Source organism: Homo sapiens, chromosome 18 (genome assembly GCF_000001405.40).
Source record: "Homo sapiens chromosome 18, GRCh38.p14 Primary Assembly".
NCBI lineage: Eukaryota > Metazoa > Chordata > Mammalia > Primates > Hominidae > Homo > Homo sapiens.
Window position 1 is genome coordinate 77,802,545 of NC_000018.10, and position 25,654 is coordinate 77,828,198.

General features: G+C 39.2%; 1 annotated feature.

Moving 5' to 3' along the window:
- Positions 20,669-21,868: an enhancer, noted in NCBI's record as "BRD4-independent group 4 enhancer chr18:75535169-75536368 (GRCh37/hg19 assembly coordinates)". NCBI's record gives its function as "activates an origin of replication core promoter dependent on BRD2, P300/CBP, MED14 and CDK7 cofactors, and independent of BRD4, by STARR-seq in HCT116 cells {active_cell/tissue: HCT116}" and the evidence as "EXISTENCE:reporter gene assay evidence [ECO:0000049][PMID:35650434]".

The window sequence follows — 25,654 nt, forward strand, 5'->3', positions numbered from 1 at the left end:
TACTCCTAGACCAGAAGCAATGAAGAGAACACACAGGTTTGGACAATTTAGTCTATCATACATGGGTTCTGAATCTTCCCAGTGTATTGAAATGGAGCTTCAACTGGTAAATACTGGGATATACCCGATGTAAATTTGTCCCAGTGTAACAATGAATATAAAGCTTGCCAAAATTCTTATTTGAAAAATATACAAAAAATACAGGAAATCAGAAACACAGTTAAATCAAATATTCATAAATGTCCAAATACCAGAACTGGACTAAATGTGTTTGCAGAAGCAATGACAGAAAGTTAGTTCTGTCTGACAAAGTTTCCACGGCCTCCTTATGGAATATCTGCAGGATGTAAGAGAATAAACCTGGAGCCAAGACAATGCTGATGGAAAAGGGTTTCTTATTTTATGTAGCTTTTTCTTTAAAAAATTTTATATTACACATACACAGATTTAAAAAGTAAATAAAACTGAACAATTTCTAATGAGAAACAAGTTACCTAAACTGGTGGCCACACCCTACCTTGAATCCAGCTTTCAAAGCCAGTTCCTCTTAGTTCTTTTGATTGTCAGCTCCACTGCTCAAAACTTTATGAATGTACAACTATTTCTCAACTTCTCGCTAGATGTTATGTTTTATTTAGATGTTACGTTTTGACTTGAGGGATTAAGAATACAGCTGATTCAGCAACTCATCACTCCTTCCACGTTCCTCATCTTTCCCCTGACAGTACATGTTAAATTATTTTCAATGATTACTTTAATTTTGTAAAAGTTTTGAAATGATTATAGATTCACAGCAAGTTGCAAAGATAATACAGAGAGGTCCCATATAGCCTTCCCCCATCTTCCCCATTGGTTACCTTAAGTAACTGTAGTAAAATATTAACATCAAGAAATTAACTTTGGTACCTTGTACAGTTCTATATTATTCATCATGTGAGTAGAATGGAATAACTGCAATCAAGATACAAAAACATTCCAAGTTCAAAGATTTCTCTCTGCTGCATTTTCATAGTCAAAAATCACCCAGCACCTCGCTATCCCCTATAACCACTAATCTGTCTTCCAACTCTGCAATTTGATTGTTTCAGGAATGGTCATAGATAAGTCACACATTATGTAACCTTTCAAAATTGGCTCCTTTCCCTCAACATAATGCCTGTGAGATTCGTCCACGCTGTTGGAATTGTCAATGATGTGTTCCTTTCCACTGCTGAGTCTCTTTTCACAGTGTGGATGCACCACAGATTCTCTAACCATTCACTTATTATAGGCTACTTCGGCTGTTTTGAATCTTTAGCTGTTACTAGAAAAGCTGCTATAAACATTTGTGCCTAAGATTTTGTATGAATATAGATCTGTAATTCTCTGGGATATGTGCTCAGGAATATAATTGTTGGATCAGTTGATAGTTGCATGTTTAGTTTTCTTCTTTTAATTCCCATTTTTTTCTCCCTAATATCTGTACCATTTCATATTCTCACCTGTGATGTCTGAGTGATCCAGTTACTCCACATGCTCACCAGCATTTGGTGTTGTCTACGTATTTCAGCCATTCTGAAAAAACATTCAGTGGTACACCATGGCTTTAACTTGCATTCCCCTATTAACTAAAGATATTGAATGCCTTTTCATGAACTTGTTTGCCATCTGTGTATTTTCCTTGATGAAATGTCTCTCCTGATTTTTGCCCAGGTTGTAATTGGATTGTTTGCTTTCCAATCTGTAAGCAGAATATGTCTCTAAATTATGTATCTTCTTTGATTTCTTTCTGAATGTTTTTGCAGTTTTCAGCATACAAATATTGTATATGTTTTGTTAGATTTATATCCAAGCATTTTTTGAGTGATTGTACATGGTATTTTATTTTAAATTTTGGTATCCATATATTCGTAGATACTATACAGAAAATGTATTTTGCATGTTCATCTTGCATCCTGTGAACTCACTCAACCCATGTATTAGTTCTGAAAACTTTTATCTGTCCTTCTTAATAGCTTGAGGTACATAACCATGTGATCTGCAAATCGGAACAGTTTTCTTCCTTTCTGATAAGGATGAATGTTATTTCCTTTTATTGACTTATTGTACTGGATAGAACTTCCAGCATCATGTTGAACAAAAGTGATAAAAGTAAACATCCTTGCTTTGTTCCCTGTTTTAGAGGGAAGGCATTAGATGTTTTGTCATTAAGTATAATGTTAGGTGTAAGTTTTTTGGAAATACTCTTTATCAAGTCCATCTTTTTTCTGAGAGTTATATCATGAATAGATGTTCAATTTTGTTACATGCTTTTTGTTCACTGATTGATATGATCGTGTAGTTTTTTTTAGCCTATTAATAAGTTGGATTATACTGATTGATTTTCCAAGACTGAACTTGCCTTGCACCCCTTGAATAAACCTCATGTAATCATGGTATATGATTTTTTATATATTGCTGAATTCTGATTGGTAATCTTTTGTTAAGGATTTCTGCGTCTATATTCACAAGCATTATTGATTATTAATCTCTAGTTTTATTTTCCTTTTCTGTATTGTCTATTTTGGTATCAAGATAATACTAGCTTCATAAAATGAAATAAGAGTGCTCCCATCTCCTCTATTTCTTGGATGAAATTATGTAGAATTGAAATTAAGTTCTCCTGTGAAACCATATTAGTCTGGGGATTTCTCTTCTGAGAGTTTTAAAATTTATTTTTCCTAATAATTATAGGACTATTCAAATAATTTCATATTGGGTGAGTTGAGGTAGTTGGGTTTTTTTAAGGAACTTATCCATGTCACCTAAGTGGGTGAATGTGTGTGTGTAGAGTTGCTCTTTAGAGTCAGCTATTATGTTTTTGATGTCTGCATGATCTCTAGTGATGTCTCTTATTTCCTCCTTGATGTTCATAATTTGTGTCTTCTTTCTTTGTTTCTTTGTCAATATTGTCAAGAAGAGTGCCAATTCTTTGATTTTTTTCAAATAACCAGTGATTTTCTCTTATTGTTTTTGTGTCTTTGGTTTCACTGTTTTCTGCTCTTGTCTTTATTACTCCTTTTCTTCTAATTTGCACTTGTTTTACTCTTCATTTTCTAGGCTCTTGAAGTGGAAACTTAGGCTATTTGATTTTTTCCCTCTGTCTTTAATGTAAGCATTCAGTTCTATAAATTTCTCTCTCAGCCATGTTTTAGCTTTGTCCCACAAATTTTGACATTTTTTCACTTTCATTAAGTTCAATATATTTTTTATTTTCCTTGAAACTCAGTTTTTGACCCTTGGGTTATTTAGAAATATGCTGTTTAGTTTCCAAATGTTTGAAGATTTTACTATTATCTATTACCAGTTTGACTTTATTGTGGCCATGAACCTACGTTCTGTGCTCATACTCTGTATGATTTCAATTTTATAATTTGTTGACTTTAGTTTTCTGTCTACTCGTTTTTATGTTTCATCTGTATAAGTAAATTGGAGAAATCTTCATCCCTGTGTCCCTTTCTTTTCCTCCTTTGTAATATGTTTTTCTTGAATATTTCCTTGATGTAATGTAAGAACCATTTGATATGGTATTAAAGTTTTTGCCTCAAATGCCAAACATAATTTAAAAATCTCAAGAGGAAAATGAATATTTATCATTTATCCATATTTTTACTCTTCTTTGTTCTTTATTTCTGGTGTTCCAAAATTCCTTCTTTTATCCTCTTTGTTTTTGTTTAGAGAACTACATTTAGCTATTTTTTGTAGGGTAGGGATACTAACCATCCATCTCTCAGTTTTCCTTCAGCTGAGAATTTCTTGATTCCCCTCAGTACTGGAACATACTTTCACTGGATATAGAATTCTATGTTGATAATTCTTTTCTTCCAGAATTTGAAAATGATGCCTTGCTGGTTTCTTATGAGAAATCCACTATCACATGAATGTTTTCCCTCTGGGTGAGGTGTTAGTGCGCTTTCTTCCTGCTCCTTTTTTTTCTTTGTGTTTAATTTTCAGATGGTTTACTAAGACGCGTCTTGGTGTAGATTTGTTTCTTTGTTTGGTTGGTTATGCTGCTTGGATTTTGCCCAGTTTCTTCAATCTCTTGTTGTTCAATGCCTTTTACCAAATTTGTTAAATTTTCAGATACTTTTACTTCAAGTGTTGTTCAATCCTACCTTCTTTTTTTTTCTCTTTCTGGGGTTCGGATGGCATGAATTTTAGATTTTTTTGTGTGTGATAACACCATATGTCTTCAGATCCTTTTTTTGTTTGTTTTCAATCTACTGTTCTCTCTATTGTTCTGTTTGAATACTTTTTATTGTTTTCTCTTCAGTTCACTGTTTGTTTGCTTTATTTCCTCTGCTCTGCTGTTTAGAAAATCCATTGACTTTCATTTCTTTAATTAGACTTTTATAGTTTTTAGTTTTAAAATTTCTATTTGGTTCTTTTTTATATCATTCACTTCTGGGCTGAGGCGTTCCTTTTTTTTTCATTTGTTTCAAGTATGTGCATAGTTGCTCATTGCAGCATTTTTATGATGACTGCTTTAAAATCTTTGTCAGATAATTCTAACATCTTGGTATTCTTCGTATTGGCATCTACTGATGGCATTCTTCATTTGGTTTGAAGTCTTCCTGCCTCTTGGCATGACAAATGGGTTTTGATTAAATCCTGGACCCCTGCGTATTGTTATGAGACTCTGGATCTTCTTCCAGGTGGGAGTGGAAGCACAGTTTCCCTCTCAGCCTCCTTGACACCTGGAGGGAGCAGGAATGCCTTGCTGCTCTTTTCCGCACAGTTGCCACTGGCACCTGCTCGGTGGGGATCTTCGTTGCCACTGGGTGATTGTAAAATTTCTGATTCTCCACTAGGCTTCTTCTGACAGGACCCCTGGCTTGTCACCGCCAGCTAAGAGTGAAGGTTCTGGGCTCCCCTCGTCTGTCTGATCTGCCCCCCTTCACCCGGCAGGGATGTGAGACACTACTCTGCTTTCGGCTTTCTCCAACACTGCCAGGCAAAGGAATTGAGTTCCCTTTTTATGGCCTGGTGAAGGTGGAAATCTGGGCTTTCCCTGGTCCGTTGCTGGCAGAAGTAGAAGTCAGAATTGAGTATTTCCATGGTGTTTGGCTGGAATGGGACTGTTATTTTCTAAACGTTTCCTCTCTTGCTAGGCTGGCTTTTCCCTGGTCCTTTGTCTAGATAGAACACACTTTTGTTGTGTTTGTTTATGCATGCCCAAGCATATGTGCATGTGTGTTTATGTGTGTATGCATGTGTGTATGTGCATGCATGTTTTTATGCATGAGTGTGCATGTTCATGTGTTTGTGTGTGCATGCATGTGTGTGTGCATGTGTGTATGTGTGCATGTGTATGTGTTTGTATGTGTGTTGTGTGCATGTGCGTGTTCATGTGTGCATATGTGTGTATGTGTGTGCATGTGTGTGTATGTGTGTATATGCATGTGTGTTTGTGTATCTGCACTTTTTTAGTGCATCCAGGTGATTACTTCTCTAGAAACTCATCTGGTAAACATGTGGCAAAAAAGAGGCCCAGCCAACTCACTGCTGTGTTGCTCCTGCCCAAGGTTCTGTGGTCCTGTGATGTGGTTTGGTTGTGTCCCCACCTAAAATTATATTGTAGCTCCCATAATTCCTGTGTGTTATGGGAGGTACCTGGTGGGAGATAATTCAGTCATGGGGGCGGGTCTTTCCCATGCTGTTCTTGTGATAGTGAGTAAGTCTCAATAGATTTAATGGCTTTAAAAACAGGCATTTCCCTGCACAAGTTCTCTCTTTGCCTGCCGCCATACACATAAGATGTGACTTTGCTCCTCCTTGCCTTCTGCCATGATTGTAAGGCCTTCCCAGCCATGTGGAACTGTAAGTTCATTAAACCTTTTTCTTTTGTAAGTTGGCCAATTTCAGGTATGTCTTTATCAGAAGTGTGAAAATGGATTAATACACCCTGCCCATCTACCTTCCTCCCTCCACCCTTGGAATCCTGTGTTTGGTTTGCATACCATGTTCATGGTGATTAGTTGTCAGGGGAAAAAGAAAATATGCCTCTTTTCTAGCTTTCATGAAGTGGAAGTCTTGATTGGTTACCTTTCAGTTTTAACTATTTCCTGATTCCTTTACCTATGATGATATTGATTGATGGCAAACAACCTGGTGGCATGAAAAACACTAGGTACAAAGTCAAAAAACAAATGTGGGTGTTTGCTTTTCAACTTGCAAAGAAAACACTGAAGACATAATAATGAATATGCAATAGAATGTAAGCATAAGTAGGCATCTGACAGACTGGTGGTGTCACAGAAAGAGTGAGGTAGAAGAAGGGAACTAATGGTAGTTAACGGTCTTTGGCCTCACCAGGTTCCTAGAAGGCTGTGTGGTGAGCAGTTAAAAATATATACAGTTGAATCACATTTTGTCTGTTATACCCGTCAATTCCTACCTATCTTTCCTCTGTCCAGCTTTTCAGGGTGAACTTCTCGTTAATAGCAGATGTAGTCTCATTACACTCAGAATCAAAAATATCCAACAAGGTATCATGAAAATCACTCCAGCCTAAAGAACCTTGAGGATTTGGAAACAATCCTGACTGCTTCTCTAAAACTTTGGCAGTGTCAGAAACGTGCTGTACTTTATCTTGGTGCAACCCTCCCCTCCTCCCCAGCTAATATTTTGCTCCTTGAGAAACCAGGCTGTTTATTTTGTTCTTTCCCGTGTAGGGTTTTGGTATATGCTAGACATTCTCTCTGCTGTTTATTTCAGGGAACTGGAAAGTTGGCTCACAGTTGGACTGGATCTGTCTTGCCCTGATTAGGTGACACTCAGCCCACATCCCCTCCATGTGTCTGCCTTGGTTCCTTTGGTTTTCACTCCACTTCCCTGGCTTTGAGCCACCTCCCCTCCCAGCATGCCCATGTTCTCACCTCTGCTAAGACCAGGTGCTAATTACCCAGATGCCTATCATTAAAGAAACTGTGGTGGAAATATCTTTTTACTGTATCAAACAAAGTAAATCATTTTACAACTTTGCAAATCATTCCCTATTAAATTAATGTTTTAACTGTGCATACCATAGTGGGACTTCATAAAGTGTGTGCCCATGATTATTTTGGTTAAAAGTCAAAGACGTGAATCAGGGAAGCTAAGAGAAGAGCCGCTGTCATGCTCCTGCGTCTCAGGGAGTCTTCCTACTTAGTGACTCCCAGGACAGGCTGTGAGTTAGAGTTCCCTGGTAGGTCGTTTGAGAACTGCTAATCTCCACTCCCTCCCAAAATGATCCAGTCATAATCTCTTAGAGGTGGTGTCCGGGCAAAGGATGGGGCTGTCTCCATCAACTTAGAGCCTGAAATTCAGACATATTTCTGCACTCTGTAACACATCAGAGTGATTTGACATACAACTTAGCTTTTGATAGGATCTGATTTGACATTGCAAAATAACTGAAATAGAAAAATATCTTGAATATATGTGTCCATAATAAGACAATTATTAAGAAATTATGTGGTTTCATAATTTAAACCCATTAACAAAATAATGCAATAGCAATGGTCTTATCCTTCCTCATGGAAACTTCCATGAGGCCCCTGTTTTATTGAGTCCTGCGTTTCTTTCCACTTGGGGACGCTTTGCTGCAATGTGGGGGTCCAGTTAGGTAGGGACGACCTATCCTAATGTCCTCCTTGCCCTTCACATTTTGGTTCAAAAAAGTAGGCTGTCAGGGGAATTGTTGTAGAGCTGGGTCTTCCACACCCTAAGAACAGGCAGGTAGCTATTTCCTCCTGTGTGAGCCTGCAGTCTTACCACGTTGGTACTCTGAGAGAAGATGCTTGGGCTGAATTTTGCAAAGAGAAAGTTGGCACCATTATCAGAGATTTCTATCTCTAATATCACAGAGGACAGAAATGAGCACCAGTGGCTCCATCCTACATAAACTATGGCCCCTTTGCAGTTCCCTGAAATACATGAGCCCCCTGAGGTTGGACCCACAGTCAGTGGCTGGGCTACTCCTTGGTCTTGCTGAGTAGTGGCTCAGAGTCAAATTTGCTTTGATTTATACAAATTAAGTAATTATTCTCATATGTTTACACTGCCCATGCCTTATCTCCACTTTGTCTAGGACCTGCCTAACCAAGGAAGCTTTTGGGGTGAAATGTGAGGTCATGAGATGCTGACATCCCCACACCCAGTCCTGCAGCCGCCTTGTCTCCCTCGTCTGTGTGTCGTTGACCAAGACAGTGGTTCCATAGTCACTGCCAAGAACACTGACCCAAGATTCCTGCCTCATTGAAAGGAATAGTGTCCCCTGATGAAGCTCCCCGATAGCTCAAGGTCAGCTAAAGGATGGAGCTGCTCCTGGTGTGTCTCTGTGGCCTCAGTTCCTGTGCACTGAGATGCAGTTTAGTGAGCTCACTTCAGTCCCCCCGTGATAGTTAGAAGAAAATATCAACATTGAAGGTTAAAAACACCAACCACTAGAGATGGTACTGAACTTCTACTAATGGTGATTGATGTATTTCTTTCTTACACATAAACTGTAAAATCTCTATCTTCAGATTAATACATACAGACTAACAATGTCAGGTTTGCTATTTACATTTAAATTAAAATATTTAAGATTTGAAAGTGTTATATTGATTCTAAATGTTTAAAGCTGTTGGAGGGCCTCGCCCTTTGTGTCTTTCCACTGGCATTGGTGTGTGACCAACAATGGAGCCCAGAAGGCCCCTGGGGATGATACAGACCACCGAGGGGCCCATTTGCTCACATTTGCAACTGGGTGGGAGGGAGGAGAAAGGAGGCTCTCAAATGTCATCCAGAAAGGACCTTATTCCTTTGCTACCACTTCCTGTGCTTTTCATTAAAACCCAAAGCCTTTTGTTCATCTATTTAAACAAAAAAGTAAAAAGAAAAATCTGGGCTCTGATTATAGCCTGGCTCCACCTTCTTCCAGCCTGCGCATCACTCATTCTCACTTTGGGGTAGATTGGCGAAGTAAATTAAAGTGTACACACTCACGCACACAGAGAAAGGAGGGGGGAATACAACTAAGCACACATGACCCAGCCTTTTTTTCTGAGCTCCCGTTTCTGTCAGTGACAACACAGTAGCAGCCAGGGTTGACAGCCACGTGTGTGCTTGACACCTGCTGTAAACTCTTATCTTCCTTTACTGCTGTTTTTGTAAACACGTATGAATCATAGTTCTCTTGTGCCTTAAGCTGAGCAAGAGTTGCTTTTCTTGGAGCCTGGCCAGCTGCTGATGGAAATCCACTTCCTGTGCAGAGATGTGCTGTTCCTGCCCTCAGCATGGCCTGTGGTTCCATCCAAGGCACTTCTCCCTTGGGCATCCATGAGGGTTCATTTTTCCTCATGAGGGATTGGGAGACTGTCATTAGAAAAGTGGGAAAAATAGCAAATATTGCAATAATCCAGGCTTCCTTATTCATTCAGTAATAATTGAGCACCTGCCATGTGCAATACGATTCCGGAGTCTGGGAACACCTTACAGGGTAAGTCACACAAAGACTTCCACCTGCCGGAGCTCACATTTCAGGAATAGAAGGGCAGCTACAATTAATAAACATGATAAGTAAGGTGTATATTATGTCAGAAAGTGAAAAGTAGCATGCAGAGAAGTTCATGTAGAGAAAGATAAGAGAGATCAGGAGTTGATCAGGAAGCGGGAGCGGGTGTTTTAATAGTTGTGTTGAGTATGTAGACCTGATTCTCTCCATCATTCCAGACCCAGAAAGAGCCTCATTTTGTCTAATTCTTCCCAAGTTGTTGATGAGTGTAGTGGGGTGAGGCAAGTTCTCTTGTTCCATCTTGTTCACACTATCATTGGATTTCTCTTTTCTCCATTACTTCAACTTTATAGAATTAAATGCTACTCCCAAAAGGCTAATTGAAAGAGCAAATCTGCCCCAAAACTTAAAAAGGAATTCTCCTTTTCACACAGATAATCCAGGGAATGGACACAAATGAATCTTGGACATTTCTCTACTAGTATTTGAAATGTGTCCTAATGGAAAAGACCAAGTGTTTTCTCTTGAGAATGAATAAATGTCAGGTCCAAGGAGCTGGAAGTTTATGGGGCTGTTTATCACGTGGACAGTGCAGAAGTGGTCCAGGAAGTGTCTCTCCAGACAGGCACCATGCAGCCCAATGAGCCATGCTGTGCCTTTGTGGACCTTCTTCCTAGGAAGCATGGTGACTGGGACGACCAGCCAACAATGACACCTGCTGATGAACAAAGGCTGATTCAAACAATTGGCCGTAAACATTCGAATAAGTTCTATAGATTTAACTCACTCCTGAAAATTTCCACAAGCAGAATTCGGAATGTTTATAGCTTTTTTATTCTATCTTGTTCATTTTGCCATTATATTTTCCTTAAAGTTGATTATTTATTTATGGGAAACTCCAAAGTGCAAATTACTTTTTATCAAACTTTATATGCTTTTTCCTCTCAGTTCTGGTCCTAACCCAGAACTTCATCCCTCACCTCTTGAATTTTGGAAAAGCCTTCTTGAGGAACTATTTAAATTTACCTTCTAGATTCATTTTGCATATTGTTGCAAGACAGTTCATGGGCTTTAAAAAGTATACTTTTCCTCCTTAAATGAGGATCTCTGTCTGCTTTCCTGCTAGTTTTTGTGAAAGACATGTGAAGCCTTTCATACTTGTTCTATTAATTAGTTGTTATTCTATTATTAGTTGCTATACATGTTCTGTTATATTTACTGATCCATCTTAAATATGCCGTAATCATTTTCACTCAATATTTTTTACTACTTCCCTCTTTACTAGAATATGACTCTTGATCCCCTGAATGTATTTTAATTCTACTCATCATTACAAACCAAATTAATTCTAACATATTCCATAAAGCTTTCTTCGACAATTGCAAAACCCATTGACTCATTTATGAAACCAATACTCACTGAATGTCTACTAAATGCCAGATACTATTGAGGTACTTGATTTAGGGAATCCAGTAAGCCAAATAGAAACACTTGCCCTTGTGGATAATTTTTAACTTAGAAGAATGTACCATTGTTCACAAATAAAACCATATTTTATATTTTATAAATATTAAACAATTTTTAATAAATATAGGTATGTATTTACAGTTTTGCCTCCATAGCATACAAGTTCTTCAAGTGCAATCATGCTTCCGTTTGAAATAAATCATATGTGTAGCCTACATATTTTCCAAAACAAAAGTTACTAAGTTAATTACTTATTAATTCTAAGATTTTTGTATGCTCAAGTTTAAAATTGGCTATAGTAGAACTTTCAAGCTCTTAGAAATGTAGAAGAGGAATTTACAATTCTTTTGGTTTACAGATAAGGAAAATAAAATCTTTCAACTTACTTACAATGTCAGCCAGTTTATGGTGTCTACAATGCTAAATGTAAAGTTATGCCATTGAATCATTTTTCTCTGAAATTTAAAGGTAATACCCTTTAAAAATAAAACAACAAAATGTGTATAGAAGTCATGTGTAGAAACTGTCGACCCTAACCAGTAAGTTACAAATGAGGAGCAGGAAATTCTATAATATACAAGTTTCAATAAAGGTGATGATGTCTATTCTTGGGAGATTATTACTACATTGAGAGTGTGTGTGTGCATGCATTTGTGTATGTGGAGTCTGAAAAAGTCTGAAAATTTTATTATACTCACTGTACCCACTCTGAAATGAAAATGTGTTGGTTGATAAAAAATGCTCTGAAAAAAATTACTTCTGGAAAAGAGATTATCAAGAAATTATTTCCCAATGTGTTTCCCACACTATTCAGATAAGAAGGGACCCTGGCCTGGGGACTTTGGAATTTGGTCTCTGACAAGTGCATTCTCAAAGTATAACTGGATACATGGCATCTCTTCTCTCTTTTTTCATTGATCTCTAACTGTATTAGTTATTAGTATAGATATCAAAAACAATGAGATAAAATTACACCATACAGTTTTTAGTGTTTATTTTTTAGTTGTGAGTTTCAGGTAATTCAAATGTTAACTTTTAACTAACTCCATTGTCTATTATGAATATTTATTCCTTTTATAATTATTCAAATATGTTAGTTTAAAAAATATTTATGTAACAAATTTCCTCTTAAAATTTGTTTCAAGCACTGAATTAGTTACTAAGTATACAAAGATTAACATAACAAAATCTCTGTTCCACTGACTTCATTATCTAGTAGGGAAAATACAAAAACAGATGTAAACAAAGAGATGTATGGGATTACATAATTCTCTACGTAGACACGCAAAGATGGTATTGTAAACTATTGTATTTCAGTGACCAAAAAGCATGAAATAATGTGATATTCTATGCAATAAAATAGTGCACTGAGTGGTCCAACAGTTACTTGTTAAATAAAGCTTTGCAATTATGCCAATGCATACCATAAGTCTGAAAAATATGGATTTTTAAATAAAAAATCCCACTCATAGAAATTTATCTTAGAGACATAATCAGTGATCTTTAAAAATATATACATATGTATAGAAGCACAGCAATATTGAGAAAAATATAAAAACTACGAATCATCTAAGTTATCTAATTAAGTGGGATTGGTTTACTACATTAATTATAAACTGTTATGCAGTCATTAAAAATCATTTTATAGAAATATGTTGACTGATCTGTGAAAATGTCCCTGATATAATGTATGATTTTAAAAGTTTATAAAGTAATATTTACCAATATTTTTAAAGAAAAAAATAGGTTATTCTTGCACTTTTCTCTTTCTAAGCATGTGTTATTCTTGAGTTTCAAAGTAAAATCACATGATCATATCAATTGATGCACAGAAAGCATTTGAAAAATATCAACATCCATTTGTAATAAAAACTCTCAGAAGGAAGGAATAGAAGGAGAAGTGATAGACAATGTTTACAAAAAGCCTATAGCTAACACTCTACTTAATCAGAAGATTCAATGCTGTCCCTTACAATTGGGTAAAGGACAAGAATGTCCACTGTAACCACTGCTATTCAACACAGTGCCAGCAGTTCTATCCATTGCAATAGGACAACAAAAATAAACGTTTTTGCAGTTGTCATGATTGCAACTGCAACTTAAAATTTTTTAAGTTGTCTACTTAAAAAATTCCAAAGCTCTATATTAAAAAAAAATCCTCTTAGAACCAATAAAGGAGTTTTGTAAGGTTGCAAGATACAAGATAAATATACAAAATTTATTTGCATTTCTATATTTAGCAGTGAGCATGAGGACATAAAGTTAAAAATAAAATAACATTTACAATCAGTCAAAAAAAGAGAACTATGTGGCAATGAGGTTTTTCACTTGCAAAAAAAACCACAAAATGTTTGGGTTTTCTTTCCTCACTCCACTGCCTGCCCCATCAACCAATTCTCTAATGCTAGCCAGATTTGTCTTAGTCAGTTAAGGTTGCTATAAAAAAGTATAGATGAGTGGCTTATAGACAACAGAGACTTATTTCTCACAGTTCTGGAATCTGGAATTCTGAAATCAGGGTGCCAATATAGTTGGTTTCTGTTGAGGGCCCTCTTCAAGGTTGCAAACTGCTGACCTCTTTTTGTATCCTCACATGGCTGAAAGAGAAAGAGCTAGCTCTGGTCCTCTTCCTGTAAGGACACTAATACCATCACGAGGGTGCTGCCCTCATGACCTAATCACTTCCCAAAGGCCGTATCTACTAAGCCTCCTTGTTGGGGGTCAGGACTTGAACATATGGATTTTGGGGAGACACAGGCATGCATTCCATGACAGTGGTTTACAATTCAGTTCGGTTCTAACTGCCTCCCTGTAGTTTGCATCAGGTGCCATGATTAAAGGTTCAGCCCTACAAGACTTACTCCACTGTAAGTCCCAAGCCTCCCATACTTCTGACGAAACATCTATGAATGAAACATTCCCACAACCTTTCCCCTGGGTTTTATAATTTGCTGGAATGGCCCACAGGCCTCAAGGAAACAGTGTATTTGTGATTACAGATTTATTATAAAGTATAAACTCACAGTCAAATGGAAGAGATGCACAGAGCAAGATGTGGGGAGGGCTGAGAAGCTTCCATACCCTCTCTCCGGGCACCTTGATTTGGTCACCACCCTGGAAGCTCTTTGAACCCCCCTGTTGTTCAGTTTTTTAATAGAGGTTCTATTACCTAGGCATGATTAATTAAATCACTGGTTACTGGCAATTAACTCAATCTCCTTTCCCCAGAGGTTCAATGTTGGAGCTAAAGTCCCAACCCTGTAATCACAGCTTGGTCTTTTTGGTGACAAGCCCCCATCTTGAAGCTCTCCAGGGGCTCCCAGGCACCAGTAATCTAATTAGCATCCAAAGAAAACCTCTCTTTTATCACTCTAGAGATTCCAAAATTTTAAGAGCTGTATATAGAGAACTGAGTATAAAGAACAAATACTTTAACAAAAGAGGCTTTTATCACTGAGGAAATTATAAGAGTTTTAAGAGCTGTGTACCAGGTACCAGGGAAATAACTAAATATATATTTTTTATTATACCACAATATCACAAGTATAAGTCCAATAAAATGTATGTATAATTTGTATGCTGAAAACTAAAGAAAATAAATAAATGGAAGAATATTCTGTGTTCATGGATTAGAAAATTCAAAATAGCAAATGTCAATTCTTTCCAAATTGATACACAAATTCAACAAAATTCCTATCAAAATTTTAAAAATGTTTGTAGATGTAAATAATTTTTTGAAGAAAATTTGTATGGAAAGACAGAGAAACTAGAGTAGCTAAAGCAATTTTGAAAAGTTCAGTAAGACCAGATAGATTTAAAAATTGCCATGCAAATAAATAACTGCCATGAAGACAAAGTGTTGGTCAAAGAAGCTCTCTGGAGCAAATCCATCAGCAGAGGTCTTGGAAAGGGAGTGGTGGTCCCTTAGGGACCACCATCCTAATTGCTACTTTCCATTTCTCTTCCTTTTTAAAAGCTTTTTTCCACTTCTAGTTTTGTTTTATTTGAACTAGCTGTGTGTGGTTTTCGTTTAATTTTCTTTCTCTTGTACTAATTTGGACATTGTGGAATGTATAGTCTATTTTCATTTAGTTATAATCCTAGCTCCAAGCCAAAAATCATCATTTTGTTTGAATTGTTATAGTGGTCTCCTGAGTAGATTCTCAGCTTCCCCCTCCTCCCTAGCAGTGTTCTCTGGGGAGTGGTTGAAGTCACCCCTGAAAGGCAGGCTTTCTGGTTATTCCGCTCTAGTTTAATGGCCATTTTTCTCTGCTTTATTTCACTGTCTTCCAATTCCAATGCTGCTAACAAGAAGTCGGATTCCAGTGGCATTCTCTCCTTTTCATATCTTTCCTTTACCTTTTGCACTTGTAGCTTTACTAAGGTTTATCTCATCATGAGTTGTTATTCATTTTTTCTGTTTGAGATCTGTTGGGTTTTGAGGCTTGGTGTCTTTAATTCTAGAAATGTCTAATTACCTCTTTACCTATTCAATTTTTACCAGTCTGCCTTGGTTATTTTGATGGTCTTCAAAAATCATACTTTCTATGTACTCTCTCTCTTTCAGAGATGTTTTTAAAAACAAATAAACATATGTTATGGTTGGTACCTCATTAATTGAGGATCTGGTTTTGCTATTTTTCTGCTTGTCTTAACACTCTGAGGCATAATTAGTTTTTGGTTGTGTGTGTGTGTGTTATTATGAGCTTTTAATCACTGTGACGTTACCTGTGGGATCTGTTTAATGTGTGTTCCTCCAGAAGATTTAGGAGAGTTCTAAACTATCATGGGATATGGCTTGCAGGTAGACATGGCCTTCTCCTTTCGTTCTTTCCATTCTTCCTTCCTCCTTCCTTCCCTTTTTCTTTTTCTTCTTTCTTTCCTTTATTTTTTCCTTTTCTTCTTTTCTTTCCCTCCTTCCATCTTTCCTTCTTTCTCTCAATCTTTCTTTCTTTTCTTCCTTCTTTCTTTCCTTCATTCCTTTTCTTTTTCTCTTCCTTCCATTTTTCTTTCCTTTCTTCCCTCCATCTTCCCTTTCTTCCTTCTTTTTCTTTTTCTTCCATCTTTTCTTTCTTCCTTCCCTTTCTTTTTCCTTCCTTCCCTTCCATTTTCCTTCCTTCCCTTCCTTTTTCCTTCCTTCCCTTCCTTCTTCTTTCCTTCTTTTTTCCTTCCCTCCTTCCTCTTTTTCCTCTTTACTTTTTTTTCATTCTCTTCCCACACCTAGAGACAGGACTAAAACAGGAAAATATATTTCCCTCTTCTTCAGGGCAGTTTTCTTTTCTGCATTCACTGAGGGTTTTGGGTTTCAGGGGCCCTGGTTTTTTAGAAGAGTCTGCAATCTGACCTCTACCCCTGCTTGGGAAAGTAGCATTGGTCTTCATTCTTACAACTTACGAAGGCACAAAATTAATGCTGCCACCAGGCATGGTTAGAGGCCCCAGGGAGGGCCAGCTTCTGGGCTTTCTCCTTCTTTTTGCATTTCCATTGTTTCTCGCCTTTAAGGATTTCACATTCTAGCCATTGGCATACTCTTTTTAATTTCGCATATAATTTTTAGGCGTTTCTAGATATATAACTTGCTATAGTGCTGGCAAGGTGAGAGTCTCTCTACAGTCAACCGTATTGCTGGCAAAAAAAAGTCATATATTTTAACTTCTAAAAATCCAATGAGAAATATAAATAGAGATGCTAGGTAGATAGTTAAGTACACAAGTCCAGAGCTCATCAGAGAGACCTGGGTGGTGATATAAATTTAATGGCCTAGGCCTGAAAGTACTAGGCTGGACTCTGATGGACCAGGTGGTGAATGTCATGTGGACATTAAGGGGAACATAAGGGGACCCATATCCTGTGCCTGGGGAAGGCTGGGCTCTGGCAGGGCAGGCGGTGAATGTCATGGAAGTGAATGTAGATGATGAGGATTAAGCCACTTTTGAGTTTATTGTGGATTGAAGTGAGAAATTGAATGTGTTCTAGAAAGAAATATGCTTTTTGGGGAGGTTCCTTTTATAATATAAGAGTTTTTTAAAGCACTGATGAGAATTTATGGTTCACAGGTTCAAAGACAGAGAATGTAGTGAACACCACAAGGTTCCTGAGTCTTTGGGGATGGATTTGACAGCAGAGGTGGGGGCACTGATATTTTATTTATTTATTTATTTATTTATTTATTTATTTATTTATTTATTTATTTATTTATTTAGAGGGAGTCTCACTTTGTTGCCCAGGCTGGAGCACAGTGGCACAATCTGTTCACTGCAAGCTCCACCTCCCAGGTTCAAGTGATTCTACTGTCTCAGGCTCCCAAGTAATAAGGATTACAGGTGCCTGCCACCACGCCTGGCTAATTTTTGTATTTTTAGTAGAGATGGAGTTTCACCATGTTGGCCAGGCTGGTCTCCAACTCCTAACCTCAAGTGATTTGCCCACCTTGGCCTCCCAAAGTGCTGGGATTACAGGCGTGAGCCACTGCACCTGGCCAACTGATCTTGGATTAAGTGGAGTCACCCTCTTCTTATGTAGAGAGGAGAGAAAGGGAACATTCAGATGGCAGGTGGAGTGTGCAATAGTTCATATATCGCGGCTGCATCTCTCTGTAAATTACAACTCAAGTCATTTTCTGAAGTTGAAGAAGTAGAGACAATAGTGTTCGCTGAAAATTGAGAGGTTTTTAAGTCCTGCAGAGGGCAAGTTACATAAGTCAGCTGATCATAAGAGCACAAACTTATAGCAGTATCAGTGAATTGCTGGCATCTTGGAGCAACCCAGATGCAGGCGTGGAGAAGTACACTGTTCTGTTCATCTAGGGTTCAGCATTTTCCACAACAAAATGTACCTCAAAGACAAATAGGCAAAGGAGTTTAGGGTACTGTCATGTGAGTCATCAGAATGACAAGCAGGAACGTGAGCTGCGTGGAGCTGCTGGACAGGGAGACTGGAAAGGCTTATATGGTCAGAGACAGGAGGTGGGGACGCAGCCTCAGGAACGGTGTTGTTCTCATTCTTGTAACAGCCTTTTCAGACAGCCTTTCCTTTCCCAACAGACGGTCGTGTTTTCTGTGCACAGCACAACCACACAGAGGCTGAGTCCTTCAGGCTCCCGTCAAGGCCCCACTGAGAGGGCAGCCCCGGGAGCTAGCCGGAGTCACTGCACCTGGCCTCCCAGGTTGGTCATCACAGGCTTCCGAGCAGGCACGGCGGGAAGGTAGGCGACAGGCGGCCCAGGAGGCAGGTCTGGGCCAGACAGGGCCAGACAGGGCCACTGGGACTGCAAACCACACTGTCATTTTCTGTAAGGTCTGAATAGGAGATGCAGAAAAAAAGAAAGATATCAGACGTGGAACTGAAAGGCCACGAGGCTGAGGGTGCATAAGAACGCAAACACGCAGGAAACACAGTGGGCTGTGCAGGGAGAACCAGAGTGGGCATAGGGAGGCAGTGGGGGAAACACAACAGGCTGTGCAGGGAGAGCCGGGCGGGGGTGTTTGGGGGGAGTGGGGGAAACACGGCGGGCTGTGCAGAGTGTGGGGGGCGCAGACAGGCGGGAGTGGGGGAAGCTCGGCCGCAGCAGAGGCGGCCTGGTGGGGCATCGCACACCTGGCCACAGAGTCCTCCCAGTGCCACATGCTGGGGTCCACACACTGGGAGGGTCCTGTTGCTGAGCTCCAGGAACCTCAGAGCTCCTTGCTGAGATTCCCACTTTTCTTGGTTCCATGAGAATTCTATAAATAAAACTATTGTTTTCTTTGAGGTTACCTAAATGGTAATTCTTTTTAAATTCTCTTTAAAAAGAATACAGCTAGATGGTGTTTCTACGTGCTCCCTGGCACACAGCATGCCCTGTGTGCATGTACCCTGCTATGATTTGGAGGTGTCCTTCAAATCTCATGTTGAAACATGATCCACAGTTTTGGAGGTGGGGCCAGGTGGGAGGTATTGGGTCATGGGGTTGCTGGAGGATCCCCCATGAAAGGCGTAACACCTTCCCCTTGGTGATGAATGAGCTCTTGCTCAGTTAGTTCACACAGAACCTTGCTGTTTAAAAATCCGGGCGCGGTGTGGGGGCTCACAGCTGTAACCCTAACACCTTGGGGGACTGAGGCGGGCAGATCACCTGAGCTCAGGAGTTCGAGAACAGCCTGGGCAACATAGCGAGACCCTGACTCTACCCAAAAATACCAGGCGTGGTGACGTGCGACTGTGATCCTAGCTACTTGGGATTCTGAGGCAGGAGGATTGCCTGAGCCTGGGAGGTGGAGGTTGCAAAGAAAAAAGAAACTTGACCCCCCAACTTCCCCTCTTAGTCGGCTCTCACCATGTGACTCGCTGGCTCTCTGTCACCTTCCACCATGACTGGAAGCTTCCTGAGGCCTCCCCAGAAGCCAAGCAGATGCCAGCACCATGCTTCCTGCACAGCCTGCAGAACCCTGAGCCAATGACACCTCTTTTCTCTATAAATTATCCAGACTCAGGCACTTCTTTATAGCAATGCGGTAGACTGATGCACTCCCTCTCTGCAGCTGGGCCCCCAGACCAGGCCAGGGAGGGCTGTGCTGGTGCTTCCTGTTGCACCCAAGTCCCTGTTGGTGTGAGATTTCGTGCTCCAGGAAGATGTAGAGAAATAGACACCCTGTGTCCACACAGGCTTTCAGCAAACTCTGGCGCTGTGGCGTGGGAGAAATCTTTGTAGGAAAGGTCCCGTCTGTGGCAGCTTCAGTGACTCCCGCCACCACCACAGCCCCACATTTTCCCGGATCTCTTCTCAAAAGACAGCACCTTCAGAAAATGACTTATGTTCAGAGATTAACTCATGAACTGTCCAGATGCCACACATGGATATTTGATATTTTAGCATGAGATCAAGGCTGTTTAATAACGGGTTATTGCCTTGGAGTGACCTAAGTACATGTGGATGATGGGCATGAAAGTGCCAAATACAGTGTCTGATGTTTACATATATGTGAGTCTGAATTCTGGCTAGGAAAAACTAATACATCTCCTGTACTCTAACAGGGAAGCCTCATTGGTGCCATGCTAAATTTTGGTCCTATGGCACCTGAAAATGTGTGCCTGGGCATCCGTTACTCTTTCATTAATTGAAGCCAAGAAACGCCACTGTCAGGGCTGTGCCACAGCAGCAGAGACCACAGCAAACACCCCAACGTGGGGCCCACAGAGCTATCAGCTTTTCACTTTTGTGGTTTTACTAGGTAGAAACAGTGTAGGCTGCTTGACCTTTTATTTTATTCTGAGGCAAGACTTTCTAGGTCCCTAGAGAGAGGAGCATTATCTACGCAAAAAGTCAAACAGAATTCAAGCAGGCGGGCAAGACCGGTCCTTCGAAATGCTGATTCATCCACAGGCAGCACCACCTTCCTGTTTAGAAGGGTGGAGGGTGATGGCCAAGGCCGGCCAGATCAGGCCACTGCATTGTGGGCTTTCTCTCACTCGCTGGGAGGCCGGGGGCTCAAGGTCAAGGTCAAGGCAGAGGTCAGGGAGCGGCCGTGCCCGTTCCATCGCACTGCCTTTCAATCTCCCTGGTCGGTGGATAGAGATCTTCAGCTCTGAGCCCCACCGGTCTCTTCACTGCACAATCAACTGACAAGCACAAGTAATTTCCTGCTGTGATCCCTTCAGCGATATCCTGAAAAGAGAAGAAAATAAAAAGGGGGGAAAACTGCAGCAAACCAAAATATCCCTTAAGTGCACTGCCTAGAAAGAGGGAAGAGATTTTAGTTAACACATGTTAAATGCTTGCAGCTACCATTCCTTTCAAATTGGAAATTATTTATTTATTCTTTCTAATTCTCTAAAGCATTTGCTCCCCCAAATTGCACACGTGTGACCTATTACCTCTTTTCTGCTTTACTTTTATTGCTCAGAGCAGAAAAATGAATGCATGTTTTCCCTTTTTATTCAACTCAGAAATCTCTAGCCATTTAATATTGACTGACAAATTAATGAATGAAACTGGATAAATGAGTAACAGGCCGTTCTCTGTAATGGAGCTTTGAGCTTAGACTATGTGTTGAGCCACCCATTTTTTTTTCCCATTAAGTTGTACTTTCAGCTGGGATTTTGAGAGTGTGACATCAGAAGAAACAGTAGCTTATTTCTGTTTTTTCACCTTCCCCTTGTTACCATGGGCATTTGGTAGCAGGGAATGAGGTGGCCTCCATATTTAAATTGTGGGTTTATCTAGAAAGCATGAACAACACCAGAGACTATTTTTTTTATGTTGCCTCTGATTTTCCCTAACCTTATTGTGTAAGGTGCCACCTTCAAGAAAATTTCAACCCCGGTGGTAGCACGAGTTTTTCTGAGTGTGTTGTAGAAAGCGTGCAGTGCAGCTCTGCGTGTTCTTCGGTGACACAATGAAGTAGGTACCTTATCCTTATTTAGTGACAATTAAACTGAGGCTTAGAGAGTTTAGGAGAAGTGCTCAACAGCACACTAATTTTGATTCTAGTCCTCTACAGATATTTAGTTCGTGTCTGATTTCATCACGTTCTAACTTCGCATGGTGAGTGTCCTTGCAGTCAGCCCTCACCCTGAAGTATGGGGTCCTGTAAGGCCAGTTTAACAAGAGACACTGCGGCACCTTACCCCCAACTACAGCCACCGAAAACCTAAGACAACGAGAACATGAAATAAATACATCATCATGGGGGATTTTCATGCCATGGGCATGGAAAATGAGGGTGATTCCTATAACCTGCGGCTTTTCGGTAATTTACAAAACCACCACCACCACCACCACTCTCTGCAGACTGTGTTTATTTGCTGTTTTCTCTTGTTTGCTGTAGGATATCTATGTGTTTGAAGCCTCTGAAATCAATTTTTGCATACAGAAGAAAACAAAAACAGCCACCCTGTACTGCACAACTAGTTGGGACATCCTAGGTATGAATAATAACAACGGCAAAGCCCACTGAAACCACAGGGAATGAGAGGAGAAGTGAGAGGCCAGGACTCATGTGCTGGACAAAACCAAGGGTTACACAAGATGAGGGAATCCACTGAGTCAAGTCTACACTACCCAATCCCCTAAAATGCTTTCAGAAATTAGGGCAATTCAGAGAGACAATAAAGACTTTGTGAAAAAAATATCTGTGGCCTAAGTTTGGTAACTCCCAGGAAACTCCCAGGAAACTCCCAGGAAACTCTAGAAGGAAAAAAAATATGTAGAACATAAAAAATGTCCAGGCTGAGGTGCTTGAAGGATTAGAGACATTTCATCAATTAACACAATAATGAATTTTTATTTTTATGGACCATAAGATCTCATTTTTTTAACCATAATTTAAAAAACTACCATAAAAATGATAATACCATTTAAGAATATATACATATCTCAGAAAATCAAGCCATTATTGTCTGTGGGTTTTAGAAAAAAATACAATTGGTCTTATTTTTTATCTGATAATCACCTCTTTCCACAAGGCATGACTCAATGCAATATCCACGATACAGCGCAGATCTTATGGCCACTTGCTTGAAAGAAAACTAGAATATAATTATAAAAAAGCTAGAGTTGATGTCAAAATTCTATTTTAGTTTGCAGAAAATTTAGAATTTTAAGCCTCTTTCTACATAGAATATATTGAGTGGTTCTTTGAATTAGAATACTCAATTCAGTTAATCAGTTTGCAGAAATTAAGGGGTGAGCGTGTGTGCCCCAGAGGACCACTCACCCGCAACAGGCAAGGAAGCTAATGCCTGAATTATTTGTAAGTCCTTGAGGCCAAACAGCCTACAGGTGGAATTTGAACCAGAGTTCCTGGCTCCCAGTTCAGAGAAATGTTGCCCACCCACCTGCCATTGGTTTAAAAGTGATTTGATGTGCTGGTTGTCTGCACTGGATCATTTTCTCGTTTACATGGAGATGGAGGCAGATATTGGTCAGATATTTTTGGGGTGGAGAAGGACACTTTGATTGCTAATTAGAGAATCGGATTCTACTGCACAAATTAGCAACAAAGAAGGAAAAGTGGCCTAAGAATTCAGCTCTGAAAACAGAATTGAAATGTGGTCAAACAGCAGAGGGTTTTTTTTGTTTTGTTTTGGTTGTTTGTTTTTAATGAGTCCACTCTGATCTCCCGAATCTAACTGTGTACCTTCTATTTTTGCCTTCATAAACGAGTCAACAATCTTCCCTTGTTTCTGACTAAACCAGATCCTTGACTGACAGTTTCTAAAGAACTTGAAAAGTTCCTTTGTTGAAACCATGTTGGGGGGTTGTGAATATGAATAAAGAAATTGCACAGAAGTAAAAATAGGGTCATTGATATTTCTCAGGAGGGCAGGGTGGTATTTCTGCCAATGGTCCCTGATTAGCGGGCTTCATTGTTACGCGTTTATTAACTCAGATGAAATCAATATATTCACCAAGACCCCAGGGTTTTCTTGGACATTGTTCCTCGAAGCACTATTGTGTTTATATCAGGACAAAGTGGGGCATCTTCTAATGTAACATTCAGCCATGATGGATCAAATTACCTTTTATTTAAGAAAAATCAAAATTCCCCTTTTGGACATTTAGTGAATGACAGGCTTGACCTTTCCCGGTTTGTTTTCGAGTTCATTGTACTCAGGACCCTGCTGGCAATGGAAAATATATTTCCTTTTTCCTCTCACAACCTAATCTGACCTCCCTAGGATGAAATTGAGACAATACAAGTTCAGAAGGCTTCTGTTGTGCAATCCAGAATTCAGAATCTGTCCTGAACCATACTCATGGGTATGATATCTCATGGAAATTTGTCTTATTATTTGCACCTGAACTTTATCATTCGCATTAAAATTATCATCATGCAAAATTTTCATCATCAAATCATTAAAAACATCAAATGTGTTACAATTGTAATTTTTAGAGTGAGATGAAATGCCTGCTACTTTCATTTTGTTTCTGTTGGCTTTTTACCTTAAAAGACTTACTTTTATAGCGCTTTGACTGGCTTGTCATAGTATTACACAGAAGTATGGAAACTCTTTGATACGTACTTCGCCTCTTGGTTTTAACATGCATTTGTTTTTACTGAGACTCTAATTTTACACAAGCTTTACTGTGCTCTTCCTCCTCACTCACACACAATTATTTTTCCCACTAAACTTCCAGCAGGTGTCATTGAGACACAAATTTGTTGGAGCTGTTTCCCCACAGAATACCTTTTTGGGGCTTGATTATAGAGAGACTCTTACAAAAAGATTTTGATGGAAAAAAATACTGAGGACATTATCATTTTGCATATGAATTGGGGATAGTATGCAATAATATATATTTTCAATCTTGGAATGAGCTGTAATCAACACAGTATGTACTTCCTTTCAGCTAGGCAATGTGTGACAGTTTCTTATGTAAATTTGTTGACACTATAAATGGTAAATGTCAACAAATTCCAAATAAAGTCAGCTGAGTAAGCTAGTGTAAGCAATGCAGCGCACACAAATCAAAAGGTTGTTATTGCAAGGTTGTGGATATTGACTCACAAACATGCACCTGCTCTTGATATGCCAATGGTAGGCAGCAGGGTGGGGCATGTCATCTCCCCAGTTTATCCTAATACTCAAGCCTGGAGAAGCTATTTGAGGTCACATAAGTCAACTTCTAATTTTACAGATGAAGACAAAGATTCTGAATGGGATTGTGACTTAGCTCAGGCTTGACTCATTAGAAATGGGTCTGGAGCCAGAAACAGCTCTAATGATTCCGAATTCCATGTTTGTTCCAAAGCTCCAACATACTCTTGGTGTGAAAATATAAAAATTAACAATGTAAGAAAGCAAAGTATAAAAACATCATGTGTAATACTAAAAATTGCTTTAACATATGGCAAATTTGTTCATTTTTAGACGACATTTGCGTTAACGTGGATGAGATTTATTTTGTGCAGTTTCCAAGTTGCAATTTTTATTTGAACCAAAATAAAAAACTATCAGAAGAGATTTGCCAGCCCCTTTGGGGAAGGCTGAGGTGAACAGAGCACACAGGCATGTGGAAACAGCATTCCAAAGGCCTTACAAATGGTAACAGGAATGAATAAAATCTAGAGATATTGATAGAACTCAGTGTTTTAAAAAATTATACCTGAAGTAACATTTCCTTACAAAGCTCTAACTTGGTAAAATAAGGTGTTCAATGTCCATACACATGGATAGAATCATGCTTTGTAGGCATAGCAAATCAAATTTTCAAATATCATTTTTCTCAGAGTCCCAAGAGACGATGCAGCTTCAGCCTGATTCTCTTGGGACACTTGGCTATGGACACCTAACCACCATGCTGGAAGGAAGCTCAAGCTTCCCTGAGCAGAAGTTCATGTGGGAAGGAACTGACAGGCAGCACCACCGTGTATCTTAGGGATGGATCTTCCAGCTCCAGTTGAGTAACCACAGGAAGCAGAGATGAACCCTTCCTACAGAGCTCTGTCCACTCTGATTTTAGAGTCATTGGTGAATATACTTTATGTTCCTAAGCCCTGTTTCCATGGTTGGAATACCAAGTATTAGGAATATAAATAATTTAATAATTTAAATAATTTTCATATTAAAATTTTTTATAAAATGATAGAAAATATATATATTCTTTTTAAACATAAAATTTACTTCAGAAACAACTGGAAAAAAAGAGGAAAAAATTCATACATTTGCAAATTTTGTATTTTTTCCCACCTGTCAATAGCACTAATCATT